General features: G+C 42.1%; 1 long non-coding RNA gene and 1 pseudogene across 5 annotated transcripts in view; one reads left to right on the forward strand and one right to left on the reverse strand.

Moving 5' to 3' along the window:
• LINC02086 (long intergenic non-protein coding RNA 2086) overlaps positions 1-20,131 on the forward strand; it is a 64,720-nt gene that overhangs the window by 36,068 nt on the left and 8,521 nt on the right. For 2 of the 5 annotated variants that reach the window (NR_189644.1, NR_189647.1), the window contains exon 4: positions 4,565-4,723. The exons of 1 other annotated variant lie outside the window; for it this stretch is intronic. This is a non-coding gene — a long non-coding RNA (long intergenic non-protein coding RNA 2086). Of the gene's footprint in view, positions 1-95; positions 263-4,564; positions 4,724-8,802; positions 9,259-20,131 lie in introns of all 5 variants that reach the window. 2 more of the 5 variants (NR_189648.1, NR_189645.1) reach the window with 2 other exon arrangements.
• Positions 12,323-13,024, reverse strand: RPL9P28 (ribosomal protein L9 pseudogene 28; annotated as a pseudogene).

Here is a 20,131-nt window from a genome sequence, read left to right on the forward strand (position 1 = left end):
GACTTGTCCCCTGGCCGTTAACTGGGTTCTAGCCTATCGAGACTCCTCATATTCTCCCCACCCCCGACCACTACCTCCATACTGTCCTTCCTAAGTCACCAGGCCTGCACCCTTCCAGAAGCATAGATCCCTGGATACATGGATAATTACTTCCTGGCCTTATACCAGACAGTGATGCGAGACTGGAAAGAGGACATGGCACGGAGTCAGAAGATTTGAGTTCAAGTTCCTGCTCTGCCAATTACCAGCTGTGTGATCTTGGGCAAGTCACTTTACCTCTCTGTGTTAAGTTTCTCATCTTCAAAAATGAGCTAATGGCAATAGGAATGGCTATGATGCCACATGCCAAGGACTTATATGCCATATACTGTGTGTGTTATCATCTCGAGGGTTTAATAGGAGGAGACTATGGCCCAGAGAGATGAACAAGCAGCAGGAAGTAGCAGAGCCAGCCTCTGAACCCAGGTCTATCCATTTCTACCATGTTAACCTGCTTTGCAGGGCTGTAGTGAGAATTTAAATGTGGAATTTATATTATTCTCTTCTGGCAGTTTGGCCTGGATCCTGGTGGGTGAGCTTTCCCTCCTACTAACAGGGGAAGCAGGGAAAGGCATTTTCAATTATTAGAAACATCCTTAGTTAGTGGGGTATGAAATGAAAATAGCCCACTAGAATACAAGCTTCAGAAGGGAAGAGGTCTCACCTGTCTTGAGTCTGTTGCTCACATAATTCCTGATATATAGTAGATGCACAAGCAATATGAAGAAATGTAAACATGTGTACACCTCCTACCTTCATTATAAGATGGATTCTAACACAGAGTCATTTTTCATACCAACCGTGCAATTACCAGGCAAGTGATGCTAATTACTAGTTCTCATGACCACTATTGAGTTTAATTCAAGAGTTTTATTGGATCCCCTGAAGCTCCTACAACCCTCTAAATCATGGGGATTCAATAACAGTCTTTTTATCAGTATGTTCACAAGATAAATTGAGTAAACCAGCTTAATGACTCATCTTCATGACTTATGACGTTAAGAATAAGATGGGGGGAAATGACAAATGTGATAAAAACTGATGGCTCTGAGAAAATGTCATGGGCATGTGGTTCTGAATGCTCTCCCATGTGGCTCTAGGGGCCTCAGCAACCTTCAGTCCCGTGTCCACCCTCACTCCGCTTCAATAATCAATTTGTTCTTATCCAAAGCATTTTTGAGGACCTTGTTACTCTTCTTCTCTGTGTTAATCAGGCACACAGGCCTAAAATATCAAATCCTAGGCAGATGCATGAACCCACAGGACAGCAACATCGGGAGGGCAGAGTAGAGGCAGGCTTCAGTTCAAAGCAGGCATAGGCTTGGAGAGGGAAACTGGGAAATGAAAACAAGTTGTCTATATAGACTCTCTCCCTAGAAGTCCATTTAAAGAAAATAGAAGCTCAGTAAAATCAAAATCCATGGGCAGTGGTGCCATGCAAAGAGCAAAGACCTGAATCTGAGTCTTGGATCAGTGAGCGTCTTAGCTTTGCCTCCAAGCTCCAGTTTCCTCCACTCTAACTGGGGACGTATTCTCTCCTCTCTCCTGGTTTCCTCCAGTTTCTCTGAACATTCTTTTCATTTTGGTTGTGAGTTCTTCTGCTGCTCTCTCCTGCACCCTTGGTAGGTTCTATGCTGACTTTTATTTTTCTCCTCTTATATGCTCTTGTTGGAAAGTCTCATCCTTTTGTGAATCCAACTGCTGCCCACGTGGGGTGATTCCCAGGTTTATGTCACCAGTCCTGCCTTCTCTACTACTCTTTAAATTTGAAAACAAGGGCCGGGTGCAGTGGCTTATGCCTGTGATCTTGGCACTTTGGGAGGCCAAGGCAGGAGGATCACTTGAGGCCAGGAGTTTGAGACCAGCCTGGGCAATATGACAAAACCTCATCCCTACAAAAAATACAAAATTAGCTGGGCATGGTGGCAAGCACCTGTAGTCCCAGCTACTTGGGAGGCTGAGGCAGGAGAATCACTTGAACCCAGGAGGCAGAGGTTGCAGTGAGCTGAGATCGCATCACTGCACTCCAGCCTGAATGACAGAGTGAGACAGTCTCAAAAAACAAACAAACAAAACCCAACTTTGGGTCACGCATCCATCCTTGACCAATTAGCTGTAGCTAGGGAAGTGGAGTCCTACGGACACAGCAAACCACCACGAGAATCATGGAGATGAATAGGGGCAGGATAATTTACCAGAGGAAGCCTAGAGTGGAGTGCTGGACAGACCACCATGTGGAGTTGCCATCTGAGGACATTGCTACTTGGATACCCCCACAGGTATTTCACCATCTTCCCCTGAACTCATAATCTTCCCCTGAAAACCTGAATCTCCTCTTCTCCTAACCCCCATGAAGGGGCTGTCATCTACCAAGTCACCCCACCTAGAGATGTGAGAATCATTCTGGAATCTCCCTCTCTATCACGAACCCCAATACTTCTAGCTAATCACCATGTCTCTCTAATTCTACTTTCTAAATATTTCTCTTGTCCATGCTACTTCTGTTTTCTGAGCTCAGGCCCTCCTCATAGATCTGGAACATTGCAATTGCAATAACTTCTTTCTTTCTTTCTTTTTCTTTTCTTTCTTTTTTTTTTTTGACAGAGTCTTGCTATGTTGCCCAGGCTGGAGTGCCCAGCTAATTTTTGTATTTTTATTAGAGACAGGGTTTCGCCATATTGGCCAGGCTGGTCTCGAACTCCTGACCTCAAGCAATCTGCCCGCCTCGGCCTCCCAAAGTGCTGGAATTACAGGCGTGAGCCACTGCTCCTGGCCTGCAATAGTTTCTTAGCTGGTCTCTCTGCTTCTAGTCATGCTCCCCTAATCTACTGTCCTCACTGCTGGCAGCCATCTGCCTTTGTTTTCCTAAATGAAATAGATTATTTTCTGATTATATTAAAAATACATGTTCAGCCAGGTATGGTGGCTCATGCTTATAATGCCAGCACTTTGGGAGGCTGAGGCAGGAAGACTGCTTGAGGCCAGCCTGAGCAACATAGTGAGATCTCATCTCTACAAGAAATTTAAAAATTAGCCAGGCATGGTGTCACACACCTGTTGTCCAAGCTACTGGGAAGACTGAGGTGGGAGGATAGGTTGAGTCATGGGAGGTCAAGGCTGCTGTGAGCTGAGATCCTGCCACAGCACTCCAGCCTGTGTGACAGGGTGAGACCTGTCTCAAAAGAAGCAACAACAAAAGACATGATCATTTTAAAAATTAATAAGGAAAAAAATAAAAAGAATGTAAACTTTGCCTAAAATTTTACCACCGTGAGAGAACCATGTTATTTTGGTGATCATTCTTCTTTGCATTTTTTATTCCTATTTTTAAAAATTACATATCATACACGCAGTGAGTGGGTTTTTTCCACTCTCCAGCTTCATTGCAGGACATGCCTTGCCTTGCACCTTAAGGCTGTAAATACGGAGTTGCCTATAATCTCTTTGAGTACACCATGTTGTTTCTCACCTCTCTGCCTGTGGTTATACACCCTGTATTAATTTCCTAGGGTTGAAGTAACAAAGTGCAGGACTTAAAAATAGCAGAAATTTATCCTCTTACAGTTCTGGAAGCTAGAAGTCTGAAATCAAGGGGTTGGCAGGACCATGACCCTTCCAGAACTTCCAGGGGGAGGATCCTTCCTTGCCTCTTTCAGTTCCTGGTAGGCCCAGGCATTCCTTGACTTGTATAGCAAAACTCCAAACTCATGTGATCATCTTCATGTGGCCATCGTCTCTGAGTCTGTGTGTCTCTCTGTCTTCACATGGCATTATCCCTGTGTGTCTGTCTCTGTGTCTAAATTTTCTTCATCTTAAAAGGACGCCCAGCCAGGCATGATGACTCACATCTGTAATCCCAGCACTTTGGGAGGCTGAGGCAAGAGGATTGAGGCCAAGAGTTCAAGACCAGCCGGGGAAGCATAGTAAGTCCCTGTTCTCCACAAAAATACAAAAATTAGTCCCAACTACTTGGGAGACAGGCAGAAGGATCACTTGAGCCCTGGAGATAGAGGCTGCAGTGAGCTATGATTGTACCACTGCACTCCAGCCTGGGTGGCAGAGCAAGACTCTGTCTCAAAATAAAAAGAAAAAACAAAAAAGGACACCAGTTGTATTGGATTCTAGCCCACGCTACTCCAGTATGCTAAGGTTCCCTGCAGCCTCAACATCCTGGGCTCAAGCAATATTCTCACCTCAACTTCCCAAGTAGCTGAGACCACAGATGCATGTCACCATGCCCTGCTAATTTTGTTTATTTTTTGTGGAGACGGGGTCGCACAATGTTGCTGAAGCTGGTCTCGAACTCCTGGACTCAAGCGATCTTCCTGTCTCAGCCTCCCAAAGTGCTGGGATTACAGGCATAAGCCATCACATTTTCAACGACCCTATTTCTAAATAAGGTCACATTCTGAGGTACTGGGATTTAGGACTTCAACATGTCTTTTGCTGGAGGGGGACAAAATGTAACCCATAATATACCCTTTTCCATTTTCTCACCTGACCAGCCTCTCTTGAACCTTCACAGTCCAGCCGAGCTGCCATCTCTTCAAGGAAGTTTTCCCTGAAGCCCTCAGGTAGACCCGTTTTTCCATGGCGGCCACATCAGCATGCAGCACATTTAATTGGAAGTCTCCACATATGAGTTGGTTTTCCTTACTTAAAATATGCTTATCATCCCTTGGAGGTAAGGACTGTATCTTTTCCATCTTTAATATGCCCAGCACTTGTCTCTTATATTAATTAGTTCAAGACTAAGTGGGCTGGAGGCTCAAAACTACAGTGGCTTGCCAGGCATGGTGGCTCACACCTGTAATCCCAGCACTTTGGGAGGCCAAGGCAGAAGGGTCACTTGAGCCCAGGAGTTCAAAATCAGCCTAGGCAATAGACTGAGACCATATCTTTACAAAAAAAATTACAGTGACTTAAGGAAGAATAGAAGTTCATTTCCCTCCCTCATAGCAGTCCTGAGTTGAATAGTGCAGTTTGGTAAGGATCTTGCCCCACATGGCCATCTGAAGACTCTAGTTCCTTCCAGATTGTTGCTTTGCAAATGTAAGGACTCTGTCCTCATCTGCTTGACAGAAGCTGGATAGCAGGCACATCGGTCTTCCAGGTTGGAGAAAGAGGGAAGAGACTGTGGGAAAATACGTGCCTGGTGCCTAAAAGTTCAGACCCAAAGCAGCCCTCATGACTTCTGCTCATATTCTCTTGCTGAGAGCTTAGCCACATGGCTACACTTAGTTGAAAGAAAGGCTAGAAATGTGTCATCAATTGAACAGCAATGACTATATTACAACTCTATTATAGTTCCATAACTCCTTATCTCCAAGTTCTGAAATCTCAAAAGCTGTGAAAATTGGAAAGGTGTGTGTGTGTGTGTGTGTGTGTGTGTGTGTGTGTGTGTTGTTGTTGTTGTTGTTGTTGTTGAGACAGGGTCTTTCTCTGTCACCCAGGCTGGAGTGCAGTGGCATGATCACGGCTCACTGCAGCCTCAACCTCCCAAGCTCAAGGGATTCTCCCACCTCGGACTCCCAAGCAGCTAGGGCTACAGGTGTGTGCCATTGTGCCCAGCTAATTTTCTTACTTTTATAGAGACTGGGGTCTTGCTATATGGTCCAGGCTGGACTTGAACTCCCAGGCTCAAGCGATTGTCCTGCTTTGGCCTCCCAAAATGTTAGAATTACAGGCATGAGGCCGGCCAAAAGTTTTTTCTTAAGTTTGGCACAGACTCAAGTGGTGGCAAAATCTGACTTGAAATGACATGAGGAATTTATAGAGACATCTATAGACTATTTATAGTCTTTATTTCATTCACTTAGAATGAATATTAATGTATTTTGTTGCAAAAGTGCCAACATATTTGCTCAAGCTCTCCCCAGACCCCACTGGGGGAATGAATAATATGCAGTGTGTGCAGCATATCTCTCTGAAAACTGAACACTTCTAAATTTCAGGGCTCATCTTAGACCCACGCAAGAGGACCCCACATTTTGGAGGGCCTTACTTTGCCCTTCTTCTAGATAGCCCTTGCTGATTAGGTAGGCCTGTGAGGCAAAATGAAGGGCCTCTCACCACCTGAGCACCGCCCCCCCAACTCTAGATCATGTCCCAGGTACCTGGGCCACTGGAGTTTGCTGCCCAAGTGGTCCAAAGTCTGTGCAGATCTCTTTAATTGGTCTACCCTCTGGATGGGTGGGGGGTGGGGGTTACCGCTGTCATATGCACTCTTAAGGCCAAGACATAACCAAAGAGCAGCTGTTTGCAGCAGGTATGGATAGAGGCTGGTTGTGCAAACTAAAATGTCCACACATGTGCCCGTGAGACCACTCAAGGTAAGGATAGAATTGAGTGTGCAAAGAGAAAGGGGATAGATATAGTTATCCAAAATTGTAAATTTGACCCTGGCTATATCTATCAACATAGGACAGAACACAGCTCTTATTTATTTATTTGTTTGTTTGTTTAGTTTCAAAGAGATGGGGGTCTCACTATGGTGCCCAGGCTGTTCTTGAACTCCTGGGCTCAAGTGATCATCCCGTCTCAGCCCCTCAAAGTGCTCAGATTATAGGCATGAGCCACCATGCGCAACTCAGAAGACAGTTCTTATTTAGTAGCTTGTTAACTTGATTTACATATCGTAAATATATTAGGCATGGATATGTGGGCCTCCAGGCCTGCATGTTCGAGTGAGTCTGTACGTCAGCCCCAGATATTTTATTTTATTTTATTTTATTTTATTTTTGAGATGGAGTCTCTCTCTGTCGCCCAGGCAGGAGTGCAATGGCGCGATCTCGGCTCACTGCAACCTCTGCCTCCTGGGTTCAAGCAATTCTCCTGCCTCAGCCTCCTGGGTAGCTGGAATTACAGGTGCTCGTCAACACGCCCGGCTAATTTTTGTATTTTTAGTAGAGATGGGGTTTCACCATGTTGGTCAGGCTGGTCTCGAACTCCTGACCTCAGGTGATCCACCTGCCTTGGCCTCCCAAAGTGCTGGGATTATAGGCATGAGCCACCGCACCTGGCTGAGCCCCAGAGATTTTAGAGAGGGATTGTGTACTCGTGCTATGGGAGAACAGGAGAATGGACTCTACAGCTTGGTTCCTGGCACTTAGTAGGTACTTGATAAAGGACTGTTGAACTGAAATAGGAACAACAACTAGCTCACAGGATTCCTGGGACGATCACAGATAGCATATGTGAAAGCCTGACTTGAATTATGAAGGGGTCCCCGAATGTGGAGGAGGAGGAAGAGGATGGACGGAGTGGAGAAGTTCAGGGAGACCCGAGAGTAGATGCAGAGTAGATGATTGAACAACAGAATATGCCAAATGGTATTTGACAAATGATTGAGGAATGTTAGCAGTTGCATTAGTTATGAATCTTGTTGAAACACCAGAAACCAACTCAAGATAGCTTAAACAAGTTGGGGGCAGAGGGGAGGATGAAGAGAGGTGGGTTAAAGGGTACAAACATACAGTTAGATAGAAGGCATAAATTCAATGTTTGATAGCAGAGTAAGGTGACTACCGTTAATAAAAATGTATTGTATTGGGAGGATGGACACCCTAAAAACCCTGACTTCTTTGTTATGTATTATATACATGTAATAAAATTTCACATGTACCCCATGGATCGTATGAAAAACAAGATAGCTTAGCCAGGCGTCGTGGCTCACGCCTGTAATCCCAGCACTGTGGGAGGCTGAGGCGGGCAGATGGCTTGAACCCAGGAGTTCAAGAACAGCCTGGGCAACATGGAGAAGCCCCGTCTCTACAAATACAAAAAAATTAGCTGGGCCTGACAGCGTGCACATGTAGTTTCAGCTTGGTAGGCTGAGGTGGGAGGATCACTTGAGCACAGGAAGTCGAGACTGCAGTGAGCTATGATTGCACCACTGCACTCCAGCCTGGGTGACAGAGTGAGACCCTGTCTCAAAAATATATATATATACAGTCCCAACCTGTAGTCCCACCTCCTGGCGGAGGCTGAGCCCAGGAGTTCAAGGCTGCAGTGAGCCATATGTGTGTGTGTGTGTGTGTGTGTGTGTGTGTGTGTGTGTACGTAATAATACATATATGTGTGTGTATTCACACATACATATGTACATATACACATTTATATATATACATTTATATTTAGATATATTATATAAATATTATAGATATATATACACACACGGCTCACTGTAGCCTTGAAATTCATATCTATATGAATTTATATATATATACACATTTATATATACACATTTATATATTATATGTTATATATAAATACACATTTTTATATATATACACATTTATATATATATACACTCACATGGCTCACTGCAGCCTTGAAATTCATATATATATGAATTTATATATATACGCATTTATACATATGCACATTTATATATTATATATACACATTTATATATATACATATTTATATATATATATATATATACACACACACACACACACACACACACACACACACACACACACACACAGCTCACTGCAGCCTTGAACTCCTGGGCTCAGCCTCCCCCAGGAGCTGGGACTACAGGCTGGGACTGTATATATATATATTTTTGAGACAGGGTCTCACACATACATATATACACATATGTATATATACACACACACACATATATACATACATATATATAGCTAGAACAAAAAAGGGGAATTGATGAAAAGAAAATAGAACGCATTCAATCCAGATCTCCTCTCATGGAACAAGTTGTCATCGACTTCTCATCTCTGCTTCTTTTTTCTTCAGGTCTGATGCATTTTTCTGTCTCTGCAGACCAGCTCCTCCCCCCTCCAAATCTCAATGGAAGAATGCGACATTCTGGATTCAGCTACCCAAAGAGGGGTTTTTTCCCCCTCTTTGTCTCTATTATACATTTTATAGGAAGGAATTCTGTCCCAGTTAATTCAAACTGGGACCAGAGGAACAGGGTCCCGCTGCTCAAAATGGCTGTCACCCGTGGGTAAGGGGAGCAGTCAGAGAGTCATTGTGACTGGGGTGGCAGTCCCACTCCAATCTGCCTTGTGGCTTCCTAGCCTGCAACATACATCCTCCCAGACATACAAAATGTGCCTCTGCCTGAGTCTTCCTGGCAGGGAGTTTGGTACCCCCCAACATTGGGAGGGGAGCTTACAACACAGGACTATCTCTTCCCATAGATAATCTCCTCACAAAGCTCCACTCAGGACCACTTATATTCTTGAGGTAAGGGAGGAGGTTCAAATGTCATGTAACAGTTTTTTGTTTGTTTGTTTGTTTTGAGGGAGGGTCTCGCTTTGTCACCCAACCTAGAGTGCAGTGGCGCGATCATGACTCACTGCAGCCTCAAATTCCTGAGTTCAGCCTCCCCAGTAGCTAGGACTACAGGTGCTTGCCACCACGCCCAGCTGATTTTTTTTTTTGGGAGAGACAAAGTCTCTCGATGTTGACTAGGCTGGTTTTGAACTCCTGGACTCAAGCAATCCTCCTGCCTTGGCCTCCCAAAGTGTTGGGATTACAGGCATAAGCCACTGTACCTGGCCCATATAACAGATTCTTAAGGTTATTTCTTTTGAAAGTTTGCATATAGTGACTTCACACATCACATTGTTTTACAACTAAGGTATATTAATGCTTAATGGAAATTTCCATTTTATTATTTATTTATTTTTATTGTATTTATTTATTTATTTTTGAGACAGAGTCTCGCTCTGTTGCCCAGGCTGGAGTGTAGTGGCGTGATCTTGACTCACTGAAACCTCCACCTCCCAGGTTCAAGCGATTCTCCTGCCTCAGCCTCCCAAGTAGCTGAGATTACCGGTGCCTGCCATCATGCCTGGCTAATTTTTATATTTTTAGTAGAGACAGGGTTTCACCATGTTGGACAGGCTGGTCTCGAACTCCTGACCTCAGATGATCCATCTGCCTCGGCCTCTCAAAGTGCTGAGATTACAGGCGTAAGCCCTCACACTCAGCCTATTTATTTATTTTTTGAGACAAAGTCTTGCTCTGTCGCCCAGGCTGGAGTGCAATGGCATGATCTTGGCTCACTGCAAGCAATTTTCATGCCTCAGCCACCCGAGTAGCTGAGACTACAGGCATGCACCACCACACTTGGCTAATTTTTGTATTTTTTAGTAGAGACCAGGGTTTCACCATGTTGGCCAGGCTGGCCTCAAACTCCTGACCTTAGGTGATCCACCGCCTCGGCCTCCCAATGTGCTGGGATTACAGGCATGAACCACCATACTTGGCTGGAAATTTCCATTTTAATATCTTGTTTACAGATAGCTTGAATAATGCTGGGTAGTGGGATGGTACACAGAATAGAATATATTCTTCTATATGTGCATATATTTGATTGCATATATAATACATATTATTATATATTAGGCAGGGTTCTGAGTTGCAACTCTAAGCAGGTTAAAGGAATTAAGGATAGACTTTGTTTTCTGACATAACTGAAACGTTCAGGGAGCTTCAGGTGCTATTGAATTCAAGGGTTCGACAACCCCATTAGCTTGCCCTTAGTGGTTCTGTGTCCTTTCCTCTCTCCTTCTCACCCTCTTTCCCTCCCTTCATTTCTCAGCTCTGCTTTCCTTTGGCTTCACATAACTCCAGGCTCATGTCATCCTTTTTGTCCCAATCTGAGATAAAAAGACCATCTTTCCTTTCAGGCAATAGAATATGATTGGCTAGGCCTAGGTCACTTGTCAACCTCTATACCCTTACGTTTTTGGAGTGGGGTAGGAGTAGGAGAAATAAAGAATTCTACTTTATGTGTTTGTGTATGTATCATTTCTATGAGAAAAAGTTTAGCAGGAAGCTTTAATGTTAAATAAATAATGGCATATTGACACCAAAAAATATATACATAGCAGTTAAAAGAGCAAGGTTTCTACATACTGCATAGAAAGGTATCCTCAGCATGTTATTAAAGACAATTTGCAGAACAGAAGGTATAATATCATATGATGTTTTAAGAAAATATTTTTTTGTTTGTTTGTTTGAATCAGGGTCTCACTCTGTCACCCAGGCTGAAGTGCAGTGGCTTGATCTCAGCTCACTAAGCCTCAAACCACTGAGCTCAAGCAATCCTCCCACCTCAGCCTCCCAAGTAGCTGGGACCACAGCTCTGCACTACCATGCCTAGCTAATTTTTGTATTTCTTGTAGAGATGGGGTTTTGCCATGTTGCCTAGGCTGGTCTCAAACTCCTGGCCTCAAGCGATTCACCCACCTCGGCCTCCCAAAGTGCTGGGGTTGCAGGTGTGAACCACCATGCCCAACCTAAGAAAAGATTTTAAGCATGGTTGCAAATTCAGAGAAAATGTCTGTACAGGTATACAATAAATTATTAATAATGATAGCCGCTGAGAAGTAAAAGGAGGCCTAGAGGAACAGGAGTTCCAGGTTACTTTAGTCTCCTGCACTATTTGGGCTTCTTTTTTATTTCTTAAACATTTTACTATGAAAAAACTTCAACATACAGAAAAGTTGAAAGTTTTACAGGAAACATCCGATATCCACCTCCTACATTGTTCCTTTGACAATTTGTAATACTTGCTTTGTCACATGTTTATTCATCCCACCACTCAGCATGCGTGTCATTAACTGCTTCCCTGGTTTGTCTTTTAATTAAACTTTTCATTTTGAGATAATTGTAGGTTCACATGCAATTGTAAAAAGAAACCCCATGTACAGAGATCCAGTGTGCCCTATAGCCATTCTCCCAATGGTAACATGTTGCAAAACTCCAAGAAGACTGAGTTCTATATTGATGTGATTGAAGTCCCTCCACAGGGTTCCTCTGGGGCCCTTCACAACTGTGTATCCCTTCAGAGTGATGTTAACATTTTCTGGAATGTCAACAGTCTGATTGCTGAGAATGGTCTTCATTCTCGCAGTAGACGTGGCTAATAGCACAATATCACAACCAGGATACTGACACTGATAGGTCAAGATATAGAACAGTTTCATCACCATAAGGATCTCTCATGTTTCCATTTTATAGCTGCCCGCATTTCCTCCATTTCCTTACTGCTCCTGCTCCCTGCTCTTTTGTTTGTTTGTCTTTCTTGCTTTTCTTTTCTTTCTTTCTTTTTTTTTTTTTTGAGACAGGATATCATTCTGTCACCCAGGCTGGTGATCACGTGGTGCGATCATGGCTAAAGGCAGCCTTGACCTCCTGGGCTCAGGCGATCCTCCTGCCTCAGCCTCCTGTATAGCTGGGATCACAGGCTCATGCCGCCATGCCCACCTAATTTTTTGAAATTATTATTATTATTATTTCCAAATCAGTAGGTCTTTTATTGTATCATTTAAATATCACAAATAGGTCTTAGGAATCATCCAGCATCTTGTTTGTGTAGGTGGACAACTCTCAAATCTTATTCATCAGCCTGCTGAACAGTTCCCTTTTCAGAGACGTAGATACCGTTCAAAAATTTCCTGATATCCTTGTTTTTAACTGTTGTGGCTTGCTGAATCAAAGCCGCTGAATTTGAAACAAGCTCAATGTCATTTCCTTCAAGGATGAATTCATCTTTCTGGGCTTGAGATACTGAACAAGCAACACCTGGTCTCATCTGAACCCCGTGGATGTATTTTTCACCCAATAAATTTTGGATTTCAACAACAGACCCATTCTCCTAGATAACAGTGTTGACGGGGAAGTGAGCATACACAGACCTCATCTTGTAACTGAGGCCCAGTGTAACACCCTTGATCGTGTTCTGTACATGACTACAAATATTCTGAACGGCAGCCAGTTCCTCTCTGTTACCCCACCGTTTGTCAACCTGGAGCCTCTGTTTTTTCTTTCCAAGAAGACTGAGTTCTATATGGATGTGACTGAAGTCCCTCCACAGGGTTCCTCTGGGGCCCTTCACAATAACTGTGCATCCCTTCAGAGTAATGTCAACATTTTCTGGAATGTCGACAGTCTGATTGCTGAGAATGGTCTTCATTCTCGCAGTAGACGTGGCTAAAAATTATTTTTAGAGTTGGGTCTCCCTATGTTGCCCAGGCTAACCTCAAACTCCTGGGCTCAAGCAGTCCTCACACCTTGGCTTCCCCAAGTGCTGGGATTACAGGTGTGAGCCACTGTGCCTGGCCTCCTGCTCCCCGCTTAACCCCTGGCAACTACTAATCTGTTCTCCATTTCTATAATTTTTTTTTCAAGAGTGTTATATATATAATGGAATCAAGCAGTATGTAACCTTTTGGGATTGACTTTCTTCACTCGGCATAATTCTCAGGAGATTCATCCAGTTTGTTGCATGGTTCAACAGTTCATTCTTTTTTATTGCTATATAGTATTCCATGGTACAGATGTACTACAGTTTGTTTAACCATTCAGCCATTGATGGACATTTGAGTTGTTTCCAGTTTTTGGCCATTACGAATAGATTTACTATAAACACTCATGTATTCTTTTTTATGAACATAAATTTTTATTTCTCTGGAATAAATTCCCAAGAGCCCATATGGTAGTTCCATGTTTAGTTTTTTTAAGAAACTGCTGACTGGGCATGGTGGCTGACACCTATTATCCCAGCACTTTGGGATGCCAAAGTGGGCAGATCACTTGAGCCCAGGAGTTCAAGACCAGCCTAGGCAACATAGCAAAATCCCATCTCATACAAAAAATTAGCTGCACATGGTGGTGCCTGCCTGTTGTTCCTTGCTACTTGGGAGGCTGGGGTGGGAGGATCACTTGAGCCTGGGAGGCAGAGGTTGCAGTGAGCGGTGATTGCGCTACTGCACTCCAGCCTGGGCGACAAAGACCCTGTCTCAAAACACATACAAAATTTTCCAAACCATTTCTAAAGTGGCTGTATCATTTTACATTTCCACCATCAATGTGTGAGTGACTTAGTTTCTCCACATCCTCACCAACATTTGGTATTGTCACTTTTAAAAATGTTAGCATTCTGATAGGTGTGTAGCCATATCTCATTATGGTTTTATTTTGCATTTCCCTATTGACAATGACACTGAATCTCTTTCATGTGCTTATTTGCCATCTGTATTTCCACTTTTGTGAAATGTTCTCTTCATGTCTTTTGCCCATTTTCTAATTAGATTGTTTGTGTTTTTATTGTTGCATTTTTAGAGTTCTTTAATATTCTATTTACTAGTCTTTTGTTGGATAAATGGTTTGCAAATATTTTCTCCTCTCTAGCTCATCTTTTTGTCTTTTTACAGATTATTTCACAAAAGTTTTAAGTTTTGATAATGTCTAATTTATCGATTTTCCTTTTATGGATTGTACTTTGGTGTCAACTTTAAGAGCTGTTTGCTTAGTCCTAGACCTTGAAGATTTTCTTCTATTTTTTTTTCTGAAAGGTTTTCTTTTTTTTTTTTTTCTTTTTTTGAGACAGGGTCTCGCTCTGTCACGCAGGCTGAAGTACAGTGGCACAATCACAGCTCTTGCAGCCTTGATCTCCCAGGCTCAAGCAATTCTCCTGCCTCAGCCTCTGAAGTAGCTGGGATTACAAACATGTGCCACCACAACTGGCCAATTTTTGTATTTGGGTTTTTTCTTTTTTTTTTTTTGTAGAGATGGAGTTTCCCAAAGTGCTGGGACTATAGGCATGAGCCACCACACCCAGCCTACATGTTTATCTTGTATCCTGTGACATTCCTGAATTCACTTATTTCTAGGGGGTTTGTTTGTTTGTTTTTGTAGACTCTTTGAGATTTTCTATATATATAATCACGTCATCTGCAAATAGGAAGAGTTTTGCCTCTTCATTGCCAATCTTTTATTTCCTTCTCTTATTGCACAGACTAGAGCTACCAGCACTATGTTGAATAAAATTGGTGCTTTATTCCCACTATTAGGGGCAAAGCATTCAGTCTTTTACCATTAAGTATAATGTTAGTGGGTTTTTCATAGTTGCTGCTTATCAAGTTAAGGACATTCCCCTCTATTCCTATTTTTTCTTACAGGTGTTTTTGTTTGTTTGTTTGGTTTTTGTTTTTTGAGACGAAATTTCGCTCTTGTGGCCCAGGCTGGAGTACAATGGCACGATCTTCACTCACTATAACCTCTGCCTCATGGGTTCAAGAGATTCTCCTGCCTCAGCCTCCTGAGTAGCTGGGATTACAGGCATGCGCCACCACACCCGGCTAATTTTGCATTTTTAGTAGAGATGGTGTTTCTCCATGTTGGTCAGGCTGGTCTCGAACTCCTGACCTCTGGTGATCTGCCGGCCTCAGCCTCCCAAAGTGCTGGGATTACATCACACCAAGTCAGGTTTTTTTTTTTTTTTAATTATTAAATGGGTGTTGAATTCCGTCAAATGTCTTTTCTTCATCATTGCTATGACTATATGGATTTTCCTCTTTATACTGTTAACATGGTGGATTACATTGATCAATTTTTGGATATTGAATCAGCCTTGCATCCCTGAAATGCAACTGTATAATTCTTTTTATATATTGCTGGAGTCCATTTGCTACTATTTTGTTAAGGATTTTTGCTTGTATATTCATGCAGGATATTGGTCTATAGTTTTCTTTTTGTTCTACTGTCCTCATCTGGTTTTGATAATATTAACCTTATAAAATTAATTGGAAAACATTTTCTCTCTTCTGTTCTCTGGAAGAGATTGTGAAGAATTAAATTCTTCTTTAAGTGGTAGAATTCTCCAGTGAAACCATCTGGATCAGGAAATATTGAGAGGGAGGGAGGATGGTTTTATTACAAATTCAATTTTCTTAATAGTTATAGGGCTATTCAAATTAAACTAATACCCTAAAATTAAACTAATTTAAACTAATACCCTAAAAAAAAAACCTCTACACATATAAACTCATACTGGATGAGTTAGGTAGTTTGTGTTTTGAGGGGAATTGGTTTATTTTATTTAAGTTGCCAAATTTATGCATGTAGAGATTTTTTGGAGGATATTAATTTCTTGGGGCTGCTGCAACAAATTAACACAACTTAATAACTTGAACAACAGAAATTTATTCTCTCACAGTTATGGAGGCCAGAAGTTCAAAATCAGCATCAATGGTCAAATCAAGGCATTGGCAGGACCACACACTTTTCAGAAGCTCTATAGAAGAATTCATTTTTTGCCTCTTCAAGTTTCTGGTGGCAACCAACATTCCTTGGCTTGTGGCCACATTGCTTCAATCTCTGCCTCCATGGTTGCATTCCCTTCTCTTTTGTCCACAACTCCCTCTGTTACTCTCTTATAAAGACATTTGTCATTGCACTTAAGGTCTACTAGGATAATCTCATCTCAAAATCCTTAATCGCATCTACAAACGCTCTTTTTCCATATAAGGTAATATTTACAGGTTCCAGGGATTAGGACCTAATTAACGCTTTGGAGGTCTACTGAGGCTGACTAATGGCCTCCAAACATAATTCTCTATTTCTTTCATTTTTTTTTTTTTTTTTTTGAGTCTCGCTCTGTCGCCCAGGCTGGAGTGCAGCGGCGCCATCTTGGCTCACTGCAAGCTCCGCCTCCCGGGTTCACGCCATTCTCCTGCCTCAGCCTCCCGAGTAGCCAGGACTACAGACGCCCGCCACCACGCCTGGCTAATTTTTTGTATTTTTAGTAGAGACGGGGTTTCACCGTGTTAGCCAGGATGGTCTTGATCTCCTGACCTCGTGATCCGCCAGCCTCTGCCTCCCAAAGTGCTGGGATTACAGGCATGAGCCACCGTGCCCGGTCATAATTCTCTATTTCATTTTATTTCCCTATTATTAAGTCCCACGGTGTTTCCCTATTATCCTTTTGATGCCTACAGGGTCCATGTGATATCTTTTCTTTCATTGCTAATGTATTTCTCCTCTTTTAAAATTTGTCAGTCTTGCTAGAGATTTATTGATCTTTTCAAATAATTAGCTCCTTGTTTCGTTGGTTTTCTCCTTTTCTTTTCAGTTTTCTGTTTCTTTTTTTATTTTCAATTTCATGGATTTCTGCCTTTTTTTTTTTTTTTTTTTTGGAGACAGGGTCTTTCTCTGCCGCCCAGGCTGGAGTGCAGTGGCATGATCATAGCTCACTGCAGCTTCCAGCTCCTCAGCTCAACTGAGCCTCCCACCTTAGCCTCCCAAGTAGCTGGAACCACAGTTGTGTACCACCATGATAGGTAAATTTTTAATTTTTAACGTTTTTCAGAAATAGGGTCTCATTATGTTGCCCAGGCTGCTCTCAAACTCCTGAGCTCAAGCAATTCTGCCACCTTGGTCTCCCAGAGTGTTGGGATTACAGGTGTGAGCCACCATGCTCAGCCCTGCTCTTATCTTATTATTTCCTTCCTTCTGTTGGCTTTGGATTTATATTTTTCCCAAGTTCTTGAGGTATGAGCTTAGATCATTGATTTGATAAAGACTTTTCTACTTTTCATTTATTTTCTTTTTTCCTTTCTTTCTTTTTGACACAGGATCTCGCTCTGTCACCCAGGCTGGAGTGCAGTGGCACAATCTCAGCTCACTGTAGCCTTGATCTCCCCAGCTCAAGTGATCCTCCCACCTCAGCCTCCTGAGTAACTGAGACCACAGGGACACGCCACCATACCTGGCTAATTTTTGTATTTGGGTTTGTTTGTTTGTTGTTGTTTTTTTGTGTGTGTGTTTTTGTACAGCTGGAGTTTCGCCATGTTGCCCAGGCTGCTCTCGAACTCCTGGGATCAAGCGATCTGTCCACCTTGGCCCCCCAAAATACTAGGATTACAGGCATGAGTTACCATACCTGGGCCTCTACTGTCCTAATATGTGCATTTAATGCTATACATTTTCTTCATCTGTGTCCCACAGATTTTGTTACATTATATTTTCATTTCACTCGCTTCAGTGTATTTTACAATTTCCCTTGGCCAGGTGCAGTGACTCACACCTGTAATATCAGCACTTTGGGAGGCAGAGGCGGGTGAATCACATGAGTGCAGGAGTTGGAGACCAACCTGGGCAACACAGGGAGACCCCATCTCTACAAAAAAATCCAAAAATTAGCCAAGCGTGGTAGTGTGATCTTGTAGTCCTAGCTACTCGGGAGGTTGAGGCTGCAGTGAGCTGTGATAGCGCCACTGCATTCCAGCCTAGGCAACAGAGCGAGAGCCCATCTCTAAAAATGAATAAATATATAAATGTATATTTTTATATGTATTATATAATAGTATAATATATTATAATAGTATAATATTATACTATTATATAATAGTAGTAGTATATATTATGTATTATACTATTATATAATATATAATACATGCAATACATATACATATATGTGTATTTTTATACATGTATTATATATACACATACAATATATAGATGTATATATAATATTGTATATATAAAATATTTTATATATACACATATATAATTTCTCTTGAGACTTCCCTTTTTCGTCCATGGAGTACTTAGAAGTGTGTTGTTTAGTTTCCAAGCATTTGGAAATTTTTCTGTTATCTTTTTGTTATTGATTTCTAGTTTGATTCCATTGTGGTCAGAGAACACACTTGGTATTAATTCAGTTGTTTTACATCTGTTTGTTTTATGGCCCAGGATATGGTCTATTTTGAAATGTGTTACCTGAGTAGTCGAAAAGAATGAACATTTTGCTGTTGTTGGGTGAAGTGTTCTATAAATATTCATTAGATCTTGTTGGTTGATGATTTTGTTGAACTCTTCTATATCCTTGTTGATTTTCTGTCTAGCTGTCGTATCAATTGTTAAGAAAGGAGGATTGAAGTCTTCAGCCCCAGTTGCCGATTTTTCTATCTCTCCTTTCAGTTCTATCAGTTTTGGCTTCATATGGACTGCAGTTCTGTTGTTTGGTGCATACACATTTAGGATGATTTGTTTTCTCACTAGATTGGCTCTTGTATCATTGTACAATGTCTCTGTCTCTAGAAAAGTTTCTTTGCTCTGAAGCCCACTTTATCTGACATATATACATGCACAATATATATATGTATAGCTACTCTCCTGCTTTCTTTTGTTTAATGTTTACATAACCTATCTTTCCTATCTTTTTTCATCTTTTTACTTCCAACCTACCTTTATTGCTATACTTACAATGACTTTATGCACCACATCTAGTTAGGTCATGTTTTTTAATCCACTCTATCAATTGCTTTTAAATAGATATCAATCTTTTGCATTTAGACCATTTACATTCAATATAACTATTGATATGTTAGGGAATAAGCCTGCTGTTTTATTTTTTGTTTTATGTTTTTCTCTCCTTTTTTTTTTCCTGAGATGGAGTCTTTGTCTATTTCCCAGGCTGGAACGCAGTGGCATGATCTCGGCTCACTGCAACCTCCGCCTCCCGGGTTCAAGTGATTCTTGTGCCTCAGCCTCCTGAGTAGCCTGGATCACAGGCACCTGCCACCACACCTGGCTAGTTTTTGTATTTTTAGTAGAGACGTGGTTTCAATGTTGACCAGGCTGGTCTTGAACTTCTGAGCTCAAGTGATCTGCCTGCCTCGGCCTCCCAAAGTTCTGGGATTATAGGCGGGAGCCACCGTGCCAGGCCCACTTTTCATTTTTCTATTTTCTTTTCCCTGCCTTCCTGTGGGCTACTTGAACATTTTCATTAGAATCATCTTTTTATTTATCTGTAGTATTTGGGGATATTTCTTTACATGTAACTTTTTTTTTTTTAGAGGCAGTCTCACTCTGTCGCCCAAGCTGGAGTGCAATGGCATGATCTCAGTTCACTGCAGCTTCTGCCTCCTGGGTTCAAGTGACTCTAATGCCTCAGCCACTCAAGTAGCTGGGATTATAGGCATGCACCACCACGACAGGCTAATTTTTGTATTTTTAGTAGAGATGTTAGCCAGGCTGGGCTCAAACTACAGGCCTCACATGATCCACCCGCCTCGGCTTCTCAAAGTACTGGGATTACAGACATGAGCCACCAAACCTGGCCTACACGTAACTTTTTTAGTGACTTATCTAGGTATTACATTGTATGTACATGGCTTAATACAGTGTACTGGTTTTACCAGTTAAAGTGAAATATAGAAACCTTACCTCCCAAGCTGGGCGTGGTGACTCACGCCTGTGATTCTAGCACTTTGGGAGGCCCAGGTGGGAGGATCCTTTGGACGTAGGAGTTCAAGACTAG

This window comes from Homo sapiens, chromosome 17, assembly GCF_000001405.40.
Source record: "Homo sapiens chromosome 17, GRCh38.p14 Primary Assembly".
Taxonomy (NCBI): Eukaryota; Metazoa; Chordata; class Mammalia; order Primates; family Hominidae; genus Homo; species Homo sapiens.